The 19,873-nt window shown below is 39.8% G+C and overlaps 1 long non-coding RNA gene and 1 pseudogene across 2 annotated transcripts; both read right to left on the reverse strand.

The window, feature by feature from the left end:
- Window positions 1–370: 370 nt before the first annotated feature.
- On the reverse strand, window positions 371–19,649 carry LOC105377616 (uncharacterized). Of its 2 annotated transcripts, none has more exons than XR_007058515.1 (2): window positions 12,726–19,649; window positions 371–4,980 (listed from the first exon to the last, which is right to left on the reverse strand). It is a non-coding gene; the product is annotated as an uncharacterized LOC105377616 (long non-coding RNA). The 2 variants fall into 2 exon arrangements; XR_007058514.1 differs by having other exon boundaries at window positions 12,716–19,649.
- Window positions 6,030–6,205, reverse strand: RNU1-51P (RNA, U1 small nuclear 51, pseudogene; annotated as a pseudogene).
- Window positions 19,650–19,873: the final 224 nt, after the last annotated feature.

Below are 19,873 nucleotides of genomic sequence, written 5' to 3' on the forward strand. Positions count from 1 at the left end.
TGTAATCCCAGCACTTTGGGAGGCCGAGGCGGGTGGATCATGAGGTCAGGAGATCGAGACCATCCTGGCTAACAAGGTGAAACCCCGTCTCTACTAAAAATACAAAAAAAATTAGCCGGGCGCAGTGGCGGGCGCCTGTAGTCCCAGCTACTCGGGAGGCTGAGGCAGGAGAATGGCGTGAACCCGGGAGGCGGAGCTTGCAGTGAGCCGAGATTGCGCCACTGCAGTCCGCAGTCCGGCCTGGGCGACAGAGCGAGACTCCGTCTCAAAAAAATAAATAAATAAATAAAATAAAATAAAATAAAATAAAATAAAATAAAACCATACAAAAACATAAAATAACATTAAAGAATTTCTTTAAAACCTGGAAGTGAGGATGACCTTTTTATTTCTGAAAATCCAGAATCCATAAAGTATTAACATTTTATCACATACAAATTAAAAATTTCTACATGGCAAAAAATAAGGTATTTGGATCTAAAGACATATAACAAATTGGAGGGCAGACATTTGTAATCATATCACAGATAACGGGTGAATCTCTCTGTATAGGAACTTTTAGAAATGAAGAAGGAAAAGATAAACAACAGAAAAGGATTCAAAGATTAATAGTTCTCAGAAAAATTCAAATAATTTTTTGATAGATGTCAACCTCAGTTATAAAACGAGAAAAGCATTTAAATTACCATGAAATACCATTTTTCACGTTTAGATTGGCAAGAACTAAAAGTTTTATAATATATATCATCAGTAAGGCTGTGGAGTGTAAGCTTTTACTACCTCTATCGAGGGCAATTAGTATCTATCAAAGTTGCAAATACCTGTAATATTTGACAGAGCATTCCCACTTTGGGGTTTATACAACATACTTGAACATGTGTAAAATAATGTATGCATAAGTGTACTCATCAAAGCTATTAACTATTAACAAAAGATTCAAAATAATTTTATTCTTCAATCTTGGACTAGTTAAGTAAATTATTGTCTAAGTTCAGTGGAACGCTATGTCTTCATTTTAAAAATACATAAAGTCTACATACTGACTTATATGAAATATTATTTAGAGAAAAAATAAGGTTTAAAACAGTGTGTTTAATAAACTGTCCTTGCTGTAAAAAGAGAAAACATAAAGGTATACATTTATTGTTGCTTGCATATGCCAACAGAAACCCTAGAAGAACGCAAAAGAAACTAATGACATCAGTAGCCTCATGATGTGGCCATGGGGACTGAAACGAAGACAATCACGAGATTAGGAGGAAGACTTTTCAATGTATACTTTTACACTTTTTAGATATTCAGCCATGTGCATTGATTTCCTACTTCAAAAAACACCCAAATTTTAAAATAAAAGATATAAAATTCAAGATAATATAGATCAAATAATCCATTCACCCTGGCCCAGTCACCACTCCTTCCTCTACAGAAATACGCACCTACAGAGAATTTTTGAAATCCTCTAGAGAAATACACACCTACAGAGAAGTTTTGCAAAAATAAAAATAAAAAAGCAAGAGGCGAAGCAGTGTTTATTACTAGCTGAGATGCTTTTGCCCCGTTAACCCCCACAGGCTGAACCACTTGGAGAAATTGTCCAGCCTTGCATAGACACAGAAATGGGCTCCTCTCTTGAAAGCAATTCTGAACCTCAGTGTTACACCGGGCCCAGAACACAAACACGGGGAAGCAGGGAGAGAAGAGGAATAACAATGCCTCCAAAGACTGGGGTTAACCTAGGCCTTCCCAAGCTGGAGAAGTAGATGAGCACCAGGCTGCCACAGCTAGTAGGGTGCAGGCACTGGCCCCTGAAATTCTCATTCTGTTCCTCCCAAGAAATGTCTGAAGGGAGGTCAATGTCTGCTCAATGATCTTGCCCTTGCGCTCAGAATAAGAAGCTTCTGATTTTTACCCCTTCGAGGCCCCACCTGTAAACAATGTAAACCAATCAGGTATCACAAAACCTGAATGCTACGCCTTATTTTGGGGAAATGAACTTTATTGCTCTTGGTCTACACTCAGCTCTTGTAGACAAGTGGGAGCGTGGGAGACACAAAAGGGTAGAGAAAGAGCCCTGTGCTTACCAGGGAGGCTACTGTGGTGTTTTGGAGGCTAAGTTCAGGAGTTTATCCAGCATAGAAGGCAGGGGTTTAATGCCTCTTATCAATAAATATTTACACATATAACCTACATGCATTGAATCTATAATGTGCATACATTTCTTGTACCTGAAAATATCTAATATTAAACCAAGGAGAAATATAATTATAGATAATATAATACACATAGTTATAGCATACATTTTAGATGAAGCATTTTTGCATGCTAGGGTAGACAATACACACAGTTACAGCATACATCGTAGATGAAGCATTTTTGTATGCTAGGGTAAACACAAAACCTGTTTGCTATGAAGGCCCTGGCAGTCTGTACATCTAGCCAATCATTTGCATACTATTAAATAACACGTTTGCAGTAAAACTAGAAGGCAATAAAGCTGTATCCATGTGTTCTCTAACCTATTTGATCAATGCTGCCATAAGAGCTTCAGAGATTGAATATTTGTGTGGCTCTCAATTTTGCTCACAATTTACGTAAATTAGAAGCTTAAATGTAGGATATTGGTAATAATTTATGTGATCTAACAAACAACTCTCTAAAGTCTTTGGAATATAAGGTCTCTGGATAGCCAAAACTTCTAATTAATTGAGGATTACAACTTTAATCAACAATAATTTTTTTTAATAATTTAAATATTTTGGGTGAAAATCTTTTCAAACAATTTTCAAAGCCTAAAAGCTTTGAATTTGGTTGATAATTTCTAAGTCAACACTATGAACACTGGATTACATATAATAGATATAATCTATGTCATACAAACATGTACACAATAGATATGATGAGGTCTGTTAAACTATGTGGGGTTATTTGCATTGGTCTATTTTTCCACTTACTTTGTGAGTTTTTCTCTCCCTTTCCTTGCTGTCAGTGTCCTCATGTAGCAGCTTTTCTCCTTATTTCTAATTTTCTCATTTTACATCTACTACAGGCTTTGAAATTGCATACTGAAGCTTCTTTAAGTACTATGTAACCTAAGATTAGGCCTTGAAATAAGGGCAAAAGAGATCACTTTCAAGCCACATGTGTGAGATTTGAATGCAGGCCCTTGAGATGATACTTTGGCTGTATACAGGTTTGTTGCTTCCTGCTTTAGGCTACATCTAAAGCAGAGTTTTCTCTGATAAGAGTTTGGGTTAGATTCAACATAACCTTAGAAGAAATGGCTACCCTATTTTATTTATGCTTTGCTTTTTTTACAAAAAAGAAATTTTATTAAAATGTATAGAAAATCATGTGATAAAATATTTTTTAAAAAAAGAAAAGAAAAAAGTGAGGTCTTTGAAATGTAAGGCAAAAGGCAAGAGCAGACAGAGCCAGGTATAAGACTCATCACACAACACAAGCCAACAACCCTCCATCTTTGCCAGAGATGAGGAACAAAGTTGGTTTTATGCTTTGTAGTCCATCCAAAAAGCTAACAAAACTCATATTGTTACTTAGTGTAAACAAAACAATCGCTTCAGTAAAGTGCAAGTTTTTCAGACAGTGAGTCCAGAAAACAATTACTTCTTACTTCCTCCTCAAGAAATCACTGTGAAATGCAAAAATAACGTTCTCGGCAATGACGTTACAAGAAACCCAAAGATGAGTTTTAATAGCATAATTCAATGAAAAATAATTCTATGGGAAAAGAAAAGATTACAGCTCACCAGAAACACAAAATTGCGTATTCCAAAGCACAACCACTGATGGTCTGTGGCTGCTCCTGGTGGCTCAATGGCACTATCTGTGACTGTGTTGGATGCACACAGGTGGTCATCTCCCAGTACAGTGTGAGTCATTCAGCACCTCAAGTCACTGAAGAGTGCCTGACAGACCCTAGGCCCTCCTAGCCCCACATCTCAGTCTTGGTTCCTCAATACAGCAGCTAAGTCTTGATTTAAGCAAATGAAAACACAGCAGGGAGCTCTGCTATTACTCCAAATATGATTACTCACTATAGGCTTTAGAACAAAGGAAATAGAGACAAATTAATCAAAAGAAGCAAAATATCTAGTAAAGACATTACTGTCAGTGGTTGGCGGTTAATGAGTGAGTGACCTGGATAAGGACTACTTATTGCTAAAGGCATCCTCCAATACACAGAGTGGGGAAAGTGAAAGAAAATTAAACACACAAAAACAGCACTATTCTTTTTTGCCTGTGACAGCAAGCCAAAATGTCAACACCAACTCCTTAACTTTACTTTCCATGTAAGCAAGCAGCATTAGCATTTCTCTAGAGGAAAGGACAAAAAAATAGTTCATAACAAGGTAAGATTTGGAATTAAAAACATAAACTGGTGTGGTTCAACAAAGCCAGATTTTTCAGTGCAAACAATGTATCAACTGTCAGTTGAGTGAAAAGATAACCCAGTCTCCAGTGCCTAGGGGCCTGGAATTATACACTGCAAGGTATTGTGCATCAATTTCCCATGTGTCAGAGAAAGGAACAGTTTAGCCTTGACACCAAGAGGTCTGCACACACAAATACCTAAAAGTAACCTAAAAGTCTATTCATGTCCTTAGCCCACTTTTTGATGGGATTATTTGTTTCTTGCTAATTTGTTTGAGTCCATTGTAGATTCTGGATATCAGTCCTTTGTCAGATGTATAGATTGTGAAGATTTTCTCCCACTCTGTGTGTTGTCTGTTTACTCTGCTGACTGTTCCTTTTGCTGTGCAAAAGCTCTTTAGTTTGATTAGGTCCCAGCTATTTATTTTTGTTCTTATTGCGTTTGCTTATGGGTTCTTGTTCGTGAAATCCTTGCCTAAGCCAATGTCTAGAAGAGTTTTTCCAATGTTGTCTTTTAGAATTTTTATAGTTTCTTGTCTTGGATTTAAGTCCTTCATCCATCTTGAGTACCACTTGTTCCCCAATAACCTATGGAAATACAAATATTAAAAAATACAAAATAAAAGTTACTTAGCACTCAATTGCAGTATGTCTGAACCTCTTGGAAAGATGGATGCCTTTCAACTATTAAAATTATTTTTTAACTATATATCTGAAAAGCATTATTAATAAAGATTCGTGAACTTAGCAGTTATAGTTCCAGAGAAAGAGTGCCAGGTGTACAGCTCTTAGAATGTAAGCTATTAAGATGCAGAGATTGTATCTGTGCAAATCACTTTGTTCAACACCAGCGAGAAGTGAAATATTTACAAATATTTTTTTGATGACAATGACAAGGAATCAGGACCCTTGATTAGAAGAGATGGATATCCAAGTCAAACCAGCTATCTTAGAAAAGAAATTGGGAGCTCCCCTTACCAAATGTTGAGAAGAGCAGAAGTAGAGCTGGGCCTCAAGCTAGTGCCAACATCTGAAAAGGGGCTGTTGGGAAGAGCAGAAGCAGGACTGGGCCTCAAGCTAGTGCCAGCATCTGAGCATCTGAAAAGGGGCCAGGACTCCCTGTCTCTAAGTCTTTCATTCCCACTTTCTTGGTATCTTGGCTTTATCTCCAAACCAAAATCCTTTTCTTCCCTAGAGGAGGAAATAGAACTCCAGTAGCTCTCTGCTAGCATCAAGCTAAGCTGAGGTGTAAAAACTCTCTTCTACTTAGTTCTGTGCATGGACAGAATCATCTGCCTACTCACAAACCAATCCTGTATTGGGGGTGTGGCATTCTGATCTCCCAGGTTGGGTCATGTGCCTACCCTTAGGGTGGGAGGCAGAGATTTATGAGTTGGGTGAGGAAAGAGAAGTAGTTCCTGCAGAGGAAAGGAACATGCACTGAACTACAGAAATGGGGAGAAGCAATGAATATTAAAAGAAGTAGACTGATGTTAGGAGAAAATGGCAAAACTAGGGTAAGATTCCCATATATCTCAGCTGGAGTACTACAGAGCCCCATGTGTTAATACACAAGAATACATTTTATAGAAGATGTTATTATTATTTGTATGAAACTGGATACTCAGTTGAATTCGTACATGAATGCATAATGCCATCGCTCACTACCAAAAATTTTGCAGTAGAGCTTCCCACATTTGGGGCAATTCCAGGGATCAGCATGCCCCTATAATGGATCCAGAGTGGAATGGATAAGCCTTGCCCTGGGAAAACTGCCTTTAAGATCATGGTATCTGCCCTGCCAGGTAAGTATGAAACTGGATCTTTCTAAGGCACATTGGAACAAACCTCATTTTTAGCCACAAGTTATGGGTATTTTGAAAAGCCCTTATTGCAAAACACATAGAAACAGCAGGTAAAATACAGTCAACATGGACTTAATGCATGGTTGTTCTTCCAAGAGGGTAAGGAAACCCCCGGGGAAATGGCAAAGCAGAAAACCTGAATGGGGGGGAAACGGCAAAGCAGAAAACCTGAATGGCCAATGAATGCAAAACCATGGCTGCTCCGGAAACATTTCCCAACCTCAAGAATCTAGAGACTTGAATCTGAAGGCTGAGCAGGGTGGCAGAAGACAAGGCTTTTAGGTCACTGCCAGGTAGAGACCTCTGCATACATTCAGAACTCATTAATCAGGAATTAAAAGCTTCTAACAAAAGTAAAGAGATAAAAAAGGAGCTTGTTCATCTCATGTTCATTGCAGCATTATTCATAATAGCCAAGAGGTAAAAGCAACCTAAATATCTGTCAAGAGATGAATGGATTTTAAAAAGTGGTATATACACAATAAATTATTATTCAGCCTTAAAAAAGAAAGAAATCGTGTCATATGTCATAACATAGATAAACCTTGGGGATACTATACTAAGTGAAATAAACCAGTCACAAAAATACAAACACAGTGCTGCATGATCCTTCTTATATGAGGTTTTTAAAGTAGTCAAACTCTTAGAAACAGAGACGTAAAATGACAGGTGCCAGGGACTAGCGGAGGGGGAAAAGAGGACTTGTTCAGTGGGTATAGAGTTTTATAGTGAATCCCACACTTAATCCTACTCAAGCTGGTATAGAGGATAGAAACAAAGATAAGACTATAGATTTATGAACAATAAAAAGTGTAAACCAAGCATTCTATACCTAGCCAAACTGTCATTCACATATGGAGATGAAAAGAGAAAAAGAGTTTCAAACATGCAGGAATGTAGGACAATCATTTGTACAACCTTACTGAAAAATTGTTCTCTGAATTAACATAAATGTGGCCGGGCATAGTGGCTCACGCCTGTAATCCCAGCACTTTCGGAGGCCAAGGTGGATGGATCGCTTGAGGCCAAGAGTTCAAGGCCATCCTGGGTAACATGGTGAAATCCCATCTCTAGTAAAAACTCAAAAATTAGTTGGGCCATGGTGGCGGGCTCCTGCAATCCCAGCTGAGGCAGGAGAATCACTTGAACCTGGGAGGCAGAGGTTGCAGTGAGCACAGCACTGCACTCCAGCCTGAGTGACAGAGGGAAACTATGCCTCCGAGAAAAACCAAGCAGACAGACAAATACATTTTACACTGGCAAAGATCAAATTATTTGTGATTATAGTGCTCATCATTTACTGAGCATATAATCCCTAGCAGTAGTTTCACTAGATACTTTATAAATGCCATTTCTGTCTGTCCTTCAACAAGCCTCTAAATTAGATGTTCTATCCACTTTATGGATATGAGAAATCTAAGAGAACTTACTAACCCACTCTTAGATTTCTCATCTATGAAGTTGACAAAATAGCTCATTTACAGGCTTTGTAATTTCTAAAATATCATATAGCTAGGATTGTAAATTGATCCTGGTACTTTTTGATTTTTTGAGTTAAAGTTCATGCTGAAGCGTGTTGGGTTGACAGGCATTCTGAGATTCAGCACAGGGCATAAGCAAAATGGCAGCTTTTCCTACTGGGGTAAAGGAGTCAGACCACCAAAATAATCGGTTCTTTAAACCTCCTTTCTGATGACTCACATCCTCAAAACTTTATGAACTCTTAACATGATATCGTGTACACTGGAAAAATGCAATGTATATTTTTAATAAAAATGGAGTGGGTTTTAGGAGATCTAGAGCAGTCACAGCTGACATCCAAACTGTTCTATTTCACTCGCAGAGGTTTCCATCTTCCACCACCACGACCTCCACCTTCCTGCTCTTCACTCCTCCTTACTTTACTAATCTAGTTACTGTTTTTCTCTCTTCCAATTCAGACTCAAAGTGACAGGACGGGACAGAATGAGGCAGAAATCACAGGGTTTGTAAGGCCTGGAGAATGGGGTTCACACAAACCTTTGGACCACTTTTTCTCAGGGGTAGACTTCATGCTCAGATGCTGATGTTCTGTGCTGGACCTGTTTGGGTTCCTCCTCCTCATTCACTCTTGCTCCTGAGCATCACCTGCTCTGACTTGTAAACGTTCTTCTAACATCCCCTAACACAAAGGAGTTAACTGAAGCTCTGAGAGGCCTGGAGGTCAGTCATGGACCTTCACATTATTTGACTTTAAACAAATCTTGAAAGATTCATCCCCCTCAACATGGCACTTGTGTGCATGTAGAGGCATTCATCTCACACCACTACAAAAGAAGCAGCAGTGTTTGCCAGAAATCATGGGATTCCTCTTTTTTCTCCGGGCTCCGGGTCTGAATTGCCAGGCCGGCTTTGTCAGGAGTGATAAATGTAAGAGTCATGGCTGGGTGGGGCTGGATTGTGCTATGTGTGGCACATAAGGGATGAAAGTGAGAGATATTTCCTAATTACAAATGTATGTTCTTTATTCTTCAAAGTTTGGATTCACACCTCTCTATTCCATTTTTCTGCACAAAATCTCACTGTATCATTAATGGATTTGTCCAGTGCATTGATAATATCATAATCTATCCACTCTAACCTGATTAAGCATGCACTTGTCATTTTAAAAAATGAGGAAACTGGCATACATGTTTCAGCAAAGAATTTGCCACACCTGCATTGTGTATGCAGCTGGTTTAATTACAGACATAATGTATTTAGCATAGTATGTACGAAGCTGCATCACACCTGAACATCCCATTTGATGTATTTCCTGAGACCTATTTGCCACTGTTCTTTCCTTTGTGACTGTCCTTACAGAATTAATATTTTGATAACTATTATATAATTAATTATCCTTCAGGACCTCATTGAAACTGCGATCTTATTCCATCACATTTGGAAATGAGTGTACGCTTATAGCTCCTTTTGAAGATAATGAGGCATCACAGAAGGAGCCATGATCTACATTTCCTTGAACATCCAGAAAGCAGAAATTACGATACTGTGACTGGCCCTGGCTGTGTTTTGATGAGATTGTCTTGGTCATCACTTTCTCAGTTTCTTAGCACCAAGTTCTTGGGTGACCAGTTGCACAGAACACCACTTGCATTACTGAATACAAACTGACTTGGGGTCTATAGGGTGACGGTGGTTGAGGGTTGACAGCAGTGCTGTAGGAACAAGACTTGAATCACAGAGGGAGTCTACATGGAGCAATGTGGTGATATATTTCCAAGCACACAATTTCTACAACAGGTCAACTGCAATTCCCACACAGCTGACCCAGCCCTAAAGTGAACATTGAGTAAAAGCAATCATATCTTTATTCCAAACCATCTGAATTTGCTGATTTTTATAAATATGTTATTTTATTCTATCAAATAAATTCTACTCCTGGATTCCTTAAAACAACTCCTGCATTACTTTGTAGGTAAAACTATCAAAAAATTTGCATAATTACTTCATTTGAAGTTATTAAACTGCTAAGGCAGCAAAATTCATTAAGCTACATTTTACTAAACTCTAATCATTAAGTGAAACAATATTTTTCCCTCAAAAAAGGTAATAGTTTCCTGGAAATATTCTTCATGGCTTTATTTCCTCTGCTAATTGATCCGGGTCATTTAATTCAATAATTTTTATAAAGGTAAAATTATAGGAATTTAATTGACTTTTGCTTAGCTTCCAATTATGTCTAATTTGTTTCTATTCAGTCTCATTAGATCCAGTTATGGTTGGACTAATAGTAATTACTCCCAATAGTTAATGTACTTTAAAATAAGGACTCTGTCTTCTGTTATTTTCAAGTAATTTTTCATCAGGGTTAGGCAGGGCTTCTTAATCATATTAATACAAATGGTTTCCTATGTACATGAGTAAGTTTGCATTTAGTACGCAGGCAATCCCATGTAACTTAGCAAAGCTAGCAAGTCCCTAGACACGGCGCAGCCACTGTAGAGGTGGCCTCTCACTAGCATCGTTAATATCAATTGTAATTGGTAGGCAATCACTTAGTTTCACATTTCATTACCCGAGTTATACAAATGTGTAAAAAAAATACAGTTTTAATAAAAGGGAGTAAAGGATAATATGAGTAATATTCACAATCTCTAGTTGGAAGAGGTAGTGTTTTCTCAGAAATGATGCATTCCTGGAGCAAGGTCATTTTGTGTTTGGTTTGTTAAATATCTATTTCCATTTTGACAAACCATTGGAAAAGCCCAGCTTCACAAGGACTCTCCATGAAAGCGATCACAAAAAAGAACACCCATAACACAAAATCAAAACAAGGGTGGTCTGGGCTTCAATTAAAGACTCATTACCAAGTTTTCTTAGAAGAGATAAGGAACACAAAGTTACTTTTATGTGATGGAAAACAGAGAGAAAGAGTAAATGGAACAATAACCGTTAGGAAACAGCAGTGAGAAACAAGCTGTGGAAAAAAATGAATGGAATTATGTTTTGTTTGCTATTGATTTCCTATCCTGATATCAGAAAATATGGGAAAGAACAAAGCACATTTTTTGAGACAAATAGAACATAGAATAAATTAGCATTAAAGATTATTTTGCAGTGCTAACAAAAATATCTGTGACTTGTTTCTTCCCTTCAAAAATACGATTTTGTACAATTACATTTATATGAATTATAGAAATAAAATTGTAAAGATGGAGAACAGACTATGGGGTTGCCAAGGGGAAGGGATGGAGGAAAATGTGTCAGAGTGTCCACAAAGATTGCAAGTTGGAGCCTGGCGGTGAGGCTACAGTTCTGTATCTTGACTGTCGAGGTTGTAGTTACAGAGATCTACACGAGATAAAAATGCACAGAACACATGCACACAAATACACACACACATACATACAAAAACAAATGTGTACAAAATGGTTGTGATCTGAGCAAGCTTTCTGAATTGTACCTATGTCAGTTTCCAGGTTTTGATATGCTCTATGGCTATGCGAGATGTCACCGTTGGGAGAATTAGTGAAGAGTACCTAAGACATCCCTGTACCTTTTGCAACTTCCTGTGAATCTATAATTATTTCAAAAGAAACTTGAAAGTCGAGTATAGCAAGGACTAAATCCATCACTTCAAAGAGGAAAAAACTGAAGATGAATGAAATTGTTGAAGAACATCAAATACTCAACAGTCCGTATGAGAGCTGTATTCTGTCCACTCGAAGCTCAGCTGTCGTTTAGCCTTTTCCTGACGTGCCCTGGAGGACTTGAGCTCCCCTTGGATTGCCAAGGCCTATAATGTTTATTTGTTACTAACTTTGTGCTGGACCCAAAAAAAAATGAAAAGTGATCGAATAATCATTTATAATAACAACTAGTACTTTTACTTATAAAGAGACAATAGTGGTAATGAATTTAAATATTTGGGGTAAAGAATAGGATCTTGGTAAGACAATATTGGCAAAATATAAAACAGAAAAAATAAGGAATCAGAAACATAAGTAGTTCAGTACTGTGAAAAAATTCTGGATCTGAGAAGCAAAAGAACAGAGATTGTATTGCATTTCTGCTCCAAACCTGCTGAATCACCTTAGGCAATGCATGCCCTTTCCCTGAATCTGTTTTCTTTTCTACAAAATAAAGTGAGCTAGATCATCTCCAAATATTCACATTTTTCGACTCTACATGGACTTCAGTTGAATTGCTAATTTCAGTTTGGATAATACATGTGTGCTGCACCACAAGTGGTGTGTCTAAACCCTCATGTTGGTCCTAAAAAATAATTAAATCTAGCATTTGGCAGCTGGAAGCCATTGCAATCTTTTAAGTATTCCTGAAGCTTATTTTATCAGTGTATCAAGATAAAATGCTAATAACGTGGTAGATATAAAGTCTGTTAGCAACTATCAGTGCTGTGTTATCTCAGAAGACTTTGTTAGGATAATGATAAGAAGTGGATCAAGTAAAACAGCCTGAATTGACCCCCAAGATCCACTAAAATGATTAACTATTCCATTCATGAAAATTCACTACAGTCAAACTATCTAAACTTGCTGTTCCTGAGCTGACGTTATTCCAGTTCTACATGGCAGTATTAATTGCACCTCCATTTGGCTAAGCATCATGAATAACAGCAGTCTTAACAATGTATCGCCACTTCCTTATATACCTGTTTACACTTGTGATCATAATAATGTCAACTTTAATACTCTCACCAAAAAAATGTTGAAAAAAATACCCCTTTTACAACGTAAAGCTAAAGATCTAGGCTTGCATAAATGATCAAAAGCTAAAAGGTAGCACCAGTAATCTCTGTTAGTACTGCAAAAAGACATCAAGTTCAGTATCAACTTAATAAAAAAGACAGTTATTAACCAGCAACTGAACTTTAAGGTTATCATGTTGCTTGCAACTGAAATACGAGCCTATTCACGAACACAGACGATATTCACATGAACATCCCTGCTAAACTCTACCTGAGCTCACCATGAGAGTAAACCGGGAGGAGGGGTAGAGATGATAGCTCTCCATATATAATGCTTGAATCTCCAGGAGGCAACAGAACAGGATCATTGCCCCACCATGGCTCCTTCCCATCTGTTTTGATCATCCAGGCAGACCTATAGTGAAACAAAATGAAAGCACTAACAGTTTCCTGGGCTGTATTTTTCTTAGTATCCTACAGAGAAACACCTAGTCACACTGCCACTGACTGCACTCCTAACCCTGGATTTTGCATTCTCACACTGTGGGTTACAAGAGGCAAACAGCAATGCAGATCCATCACTATCATCGGATATAATGCAAATAAGACACTTGCTGTGGATGGCTGATCATAACAATAACATGATCTGGGGGCATCAGAAGTCCTGCTTGACTCTTATTTTCTAACATTTTTGCAGGCTGCTGGCTGACCTCCACCCCACTTCAGGAACAACAGGATAGACTACAGCTGGGCCGATCCATAAACTCACCAGTAGCCCAGGAGATGGCCTGACATGAAAAGTTCTGCACAAGCAGGAGCAAAATGAGCCAATAGCTCCACTTGCATTCTGTTGGTATCCTGCATGTTATTTTCACAGAGCAATACAAGTTTCTGCTGTACTGCACACACATATTACTCACTTTCTTTGCCGCCATGATGCTTAAGTATTTCAACTGCATTTTTAAGTAATATATCTTTCAAAACTTCGCTTAAAAATTGCATGATCTCCAGTTGTAGCTTCAGTAGTCTGTTGAAAAGTTTGTCTAAGACAGTAGGCTTTAAACATTGAAATAACTCCTTGGTCCACTAGCTGGACGATTAAAGTTGTATTTGTTAGTAAAAAGCGGCTTTTTAACATCTTCATGGAGGTATCCAAATGAATAAAGGTGACCTGGACACTTATCCAACAGTGATGGTGCTTTAAAAGTTAAATTATGTGAGTTTATGACTGGAGGACAAGTAGTTTACACAACTACACACCTTGATATCTGTCTAAACTAAATTCATACAGACGCACAGGTACACAGCGACAAATAACCAGCACACTTTCACAGAGACAGCATGATTGCTCACTGATCATCATGCTTGTCCATTAAATACTTACTAATTTTTGTACTAAAAACCAGCATCAAAATTTGTACTGAATGAAATTACACATAGTTAATACACTGTGGAAAGTGAAATTTGCACTGTGTCCATGAAGGAATTATATATGTTATCTAACCAAAGCACAGTAACAAAAATTCCTGCATATAAGAACCACGAAAAGCCAGGACTGCTGTAAGATTTTTATATTACTTGGGAGATGATATAATAGTACTTAAGAATAAACTGTGATAAGTTAACAATATACACGGTAAACGCTTGAGCAATAACTTTGAACAAAAATACATAGTGCACCTATTGAGCCAATAGTTGCAATAAAATATAATACTGATATGGTTTGGCTGTGTCCCTAATCAAATCTCATCTTGAATTGTAGTTCCCATAATCCCCATGTGTCCTGGGAGGGACCTGGCAGAAGGTAATGATACTTATTGAGCATCTACTATATCAGGTGCAGCCAGTGTAGCTCTTGAACAAGACAGACAAAATTCTCATACCTCTACCAGGGTCATATTTGATCTTCATTTATCTACCATTTATAACATTTTATTTGTCTTTTATTGGAAACCCTTCAAATCCTTTCTGAAGTAGATATAGTTGAAATAAAGATATAAGTTGAGACTGAGATCATATACTGCATTATTTCCCTTGCAAATTCATATTAATTACAGTGAATATCTCATTTTGTTTTTCTTTTTGTTTGGAGGGAAGGAGTAGTTCCTGTCTTGCTACTTTTCTTTCTAACCGTGCCATGATTTAAGTTCCTTCATTCATCGTGTTGGCTCTCTTGAAGAAAAATCCAGACACCTGCCTTACACTGGAAGCAGCAAGGGCTTTTCCTCGCCGGCTCCCGTGCAGCTCTCAGGCAGGCGTGTGACCAGACCATGGCTGTCAGTCGCTCTCCCTCCAGGCTTGGACTCTTGATCCGTGATGAGAGAACAGCAGAGGCACATGATATTTATCGCAGCACCAGTGCGCTGAGCGAACCCTTCCTGCCCAGAGACGAATGCAGGGTCCTTGCTTCCCCAGTCCCTTTGATTTCTATTTTCAAGCCTAGTTTCTCAGCTTCCAGTTTATTCTTTGAGCCTTGCTCTCATTGCTACCACCAACATTTTTCAGGAAATTCCCCTTTCTTTTCATGTTATTTTCAGATGGTTGCAACTAAAGAGCACTAAGCAACACTCTCCAAACTCAACTGGGCCCTGCTATTCCCAGTGTTGCCAATGAGAAAGAATACATGGAGCCCCACAGAAGGAGGAGTCAGAGTCCTTAGCTAAGGGAGGAGACCACTACTCATATCGTCTTATGCGCAATTTCTGCCTCCAAAGAAATAAGAAGTAAAAACTAAAAGGCAGAAATGAAATCCACAGGCAGACAGCCCAGTGCCACACCCTGGGCCTGGTAGTTAAAGATCGACCCCTGACCTAATCGGTCAGGTTAACTATAGATTACAGATATTGTATGGAAAAGCACTGTGAAAATCCCTGTCCTGTTCTTCTCCGTTCTAACTACCAGTGCATGCAGCCCCCAGTCATGAACCCTCAGCTTGCTCAGTCGATCACGATCCTCTCACGCGGACCCCCTTAGAGTTGTGAGCCCTTAAAAGGGACAGGAATTGCTCATTTGGGGAGGTCGGTTGTTGGAGACGTGAGTCTTGCTGAAGCTCCCAGCCGAATAAAGCCCTTTCTTCTACAACTCGGTGTCTGAGGGGTTTTGTCTGCAGCTTGTCCTGCCACAAGCCAGCACTGGACACTCAAAGTCTCTTGTGCAATAAGCACTCAATAAATAGTGGTGAAAGGAAAAGGGTGGAAAGGAGGAGGGAAGAGAAGAAAGGACAAAGAAAGAGAGGAAAAGAAGGAAAGGAGGGTGGGAGGGAGGAAGAAAGAGAGGGAGGGAGCAAGAAGGGAGGGAGGGAAAAATGTAGGGTGGGTGGGCAGGAGGAAGGGAGAGAGAAAAAGATAAAGGGAGGGAAGGGAGGGAAAGGGGAGGGGGAGGGAAAAACACAAGGGCGTGGGAATAAATCCCAAATGACCATTTCTGGCAAAAAATGCTGAGTTAAAAAAATCACGGGAGAACACCCCTTTGTTTAGGTACTTGCTATCTCTTAAAAGAACACAGAAATTATAGTTTATATATTTTACATGAATATTGAGGAAAATAAGGATCTGAAGGATATGCAGAGAAATACATGAAAATACAAAATTAGGTGTCTAAATTCAGAAAAGCTGGTAAATATTAATGAAGTAAAATAGCAGGCAAAGACATGTGGGAGGGGAGTGTGACTTAGAATGTAGACCTGAATAAGAAAATTAAAAGTTATTTTAAAGTTAGTTGAAGGACTAAGGGTGGAAATCCATAGGATTCCTGCTTTTTTTCTGTCTATGCTACTTTGGCAAGTATAGTGCATAAAAGACATAAGGAAGATTGAGAAAATCATGGATGATCTTTCTACTTAAATGAAATTGTATCCAAAACCAAAAAACAAAAACAAGAGTGAGAGACAGAACTTTTTCTATGGGTTTCCCACTGTGGAAATCTCCCTACAGACACCTCATGTGTTCTTTGATTATTTGGCTGGTTGGATTATTTTCTCTCTCTTCTGGCTGTTTGCTAACTGAGGTTTTCATTACAGAGGCCGTCTATCACCCGGGTACCAATTCCTGATTAATGGAAAGATACCATCTCTCGACATGGTACCCTCCAGGTTTGATTGACGCTGCTTCGAGCTTTGAGCACGCATCGGTTATGTGACCCCGGGCCTCTTGTTTGCTCATCTGTTTTCATTTTGTGGTATAGAAACTTTACATGTCCAGCCACTACTAAGCAGAAACACAAAGAAGCAATTATCTATTCAATTGATGTTTCCCAGATGCAAGTTATTTAATGCTTTTATTAACCCTTAGAGTGGCATGTTATTCAGTCTCCACACCAGGTGAATATTCGGTAGGAAACGCAGCTCCTATACACACACTATTGTCATTTAAAATTAAAGGGAAAAATTAAAATGTCTCTCCAGCCAAACTAGCCCTTTTTCAGCATTTTTACATATTATGAAATAAATCTAAGGCAACTTTTAGGTTGTTTACAGAGAATAAAAAGTTATCTTTAAATCTAGGGCTTAAAATGAATAATTAGAGGTAAATCTAGTTGGCTTAATCAAAATAACTGCTATAGGAATTACATACAATTAGCGTCCAAATAAAATCCTTAGCCTACTCTATACAGGAAAGTAATATAAATATTAGATAGGAAAATATCAATTCTCTCTCTCATGTCTTCTCAAGATCACATTTAAACCCTTGATCCTTCTTGTCATTTCAAGCACAAGCCAAAATACAAGCCAAAACACAAGCAAATCATGAGGATAAGGCTGAATTTTAAATCTTGATTCCAAAAGCCACTCTCCTATTCTGGTTAGAAAAATAACAAAGCTATGTTCTGTCTTTTATCACTGCACATTTAGGCCACAATCATTCAAGTGTTTTGCCAACAATGAGCACAGCACAAGGTACCAGGGGGCAATGGGTAGACAACCTTTCGACAGCTTATTCCAGCACAGACTGATGCAAAACAAAATGCTGCCAGAGCCAAGTCCCCTTTCGGCTTCTTCCTGGCTTTCTACAATCTTATTCCTCACTTAATTTCTCCATCCTGTTCCCTTCTCTCTGCCCCTAGTAGCCCGTGACTCACATAAGCCTTTCTCAGGCCAGCAGGCACATGGGAGCCTCACCCGGCCTGGGGCCAGCAGATGAACCAGGAGTGTGACCCAGGTCCCAGCAATAACCAGAGGTGACAGGGCAAGGGCTACAGCTTAAGCACTTTGAAGATGAGACTTCTGACCACATGGAGAGAAAATAAGCACCAACCTATACCCGTTGCACAGGGTACAGTAGAGCCACCAAATTGCAGTCAGGAGCCAGGACCTCTTCGCTGGATGCTGTCCTCGCCCATATCACCCCACACCGGGTCATCGCGGTCTGTGTTCATCACTTTCCACCTCTTTCCTTTATCTTTGTCCTATTCCACCATTGCTTCTGCTTCCTTCCCCAAGACTGATCATGTATGTCCCAACTGAAAAACAAAAATCTCTTTTCTGAACCCTGCAACAGTCTCTACCAGCGGTCCTCACACAGGGCAATGCCCTTCCCACCCCCACCAGAGGACATTTAGCAACATCTAGAGACCTTTATGTTTGTCACCGCTAGGGGAGGGGTTGCCACTGTCATGGGGTGTCCAGGCCAGGGATGCTGCCAAACCTCCTACAAGGCACAGGACAGCCTTCTCTCCCCAACAACAAAGAATTGTGTGGCCCAAACTGCCCATAGTGCTGAGGGAGCAACTCTGCTTTGGACACCACTCGCTAAACTTCCCAAATGAACTCCCTGCGTGTTGTCTACACTTAGTGGTTTGCGCTTTCTCCCTCCCAACTCACACTGAACCGCAAGGATTGGTTGGCTGCCTGCTCTGCTGCACACACACAGCTCTTGCAAATGGCACACCCAATTCTACAGAAAAACGCAGCGGATAGTGCAGAGGAGAAACGCAGGTTCTTTCCTCTCTTCTTTGCTTTTACACAAAGATAATCTTCTCACCAAAACTGTGCTCTCAGTGTGACATCAGAGAGAAACCAGAATGGGACTTCACTGACATCACTCACCACCACAGAAATTCAACTAGCAGCTCTCCACAGGCAAGAATACCATCGTGCATGTCCCAGAATTCAGGACTAAGGCTGAGACACACTCCTGGACCCCAGAGCTAAGAAAAGCTGTTGCAATGGTAAAAAGTGGAGAGAGATGTTGAGCGCACACTCCTCCCCAACCTGGCAGAGCCTCACATGCAGAGATTCCTCTGGATCCGCAGTTGCACGGTGAGAAAGTGAGTTGGAGGCAGAAGTTCTGCTTCCCCACCATTCTGGGCCCCTTTGCAGGAGCTCACGCCTGTCTTGTCCCACAGGAAACGCTTCCCCACGATTCTGGGCCCCTTTGCAGGAGCTCACGCCTGTCTTGTCCCACGGGAAACGCTCCCCCGCCATTCTGGGCCCCATTGCAGGAGCTCACGCCTGTCTTGTCCCACGGGAAACGCTTCCCCGCCATTCTGGGCCCCTTTGCAGGAGCTCACGCCTGTCTTGTCCCACAGGAAACGCTTCCCCGCCATTCTGGGCCCCTTTGCAGGAGCTCACGCCTGTCTTGTCCCATGGGAAACACATCCCCACCATTCTGGGCCACTTTGCAGGAGCTCACACCTGTCTTGTCCCACGGGAAACATTGGGAGTGCCCACAGGGCCAGTTAGAAACAAAAACAGGTGGGGCTCACAGCAAACAGGGCACAGATCGGGCCTGGCCCATGGAGGTGCCACATCAGAGAAACTAGCCAGAGGCACCACGCCACAGGAAGCACCCCCACAGGTGCTCCAGGCTCAGCCCCCAGCGTGCTTCAACGCCCTTCGTAATAGCAAACCCTCGCAAATCCAGCATAGAGGGAGCTGCCTCAGCACAGGAGAGACGCCCATGCCACACCCATAGCTAACGTCATTCTCAATGGTGGAAAGTCGAAAGCGTTTCTCCTAGGATCAGGGAGAAGGATGCCCACTCTCACCACTCCTACTCAACATAGCACTAGAAGTCTTAGCAAGAGAAAGAAACAAAAGGCATTCTAATTGAGGGAAGAAGTGAAATGTCTCTATTTGCGGACAAATTGATCTTTTATATAGAACACCCTAATGGCTCCACAAAAAAACTGTTAGGACATATAAACAAATTAAGGTTTCAGGATATAAAATCAACGTACAAAAATCAATAGCGTTCTATATACTAATAACAAATATTTAAAAAGTAAATTTCAAAAAAAAATCCCATTTACAATAGCAACAAAATAAATAAATACTTAGGTATTAATTTAACCCAGGACGTAAAAGACCTGCATACTGAAAACTATAAAATGCTGATGAAAGAAAATGATGAAAACACAAATAAATAGAAATATTTTCCATGTTTATGGGTAGAAGAAATAATGTTGTGAAAATGTACAAACTACCCAATGT

This window comes from Homo sapiens, chromosome 4 (assembly GCF_000001405.40).
Source record: "Homo sapiens chromosome 4, GRCh38.p14 Primary Assembly".
NCBI classification, from domain to species: Eukaryota; Metazoa; Chordata; class Mammalia; order Primates; family Hominidae; genus Homo; species Homo sapiens.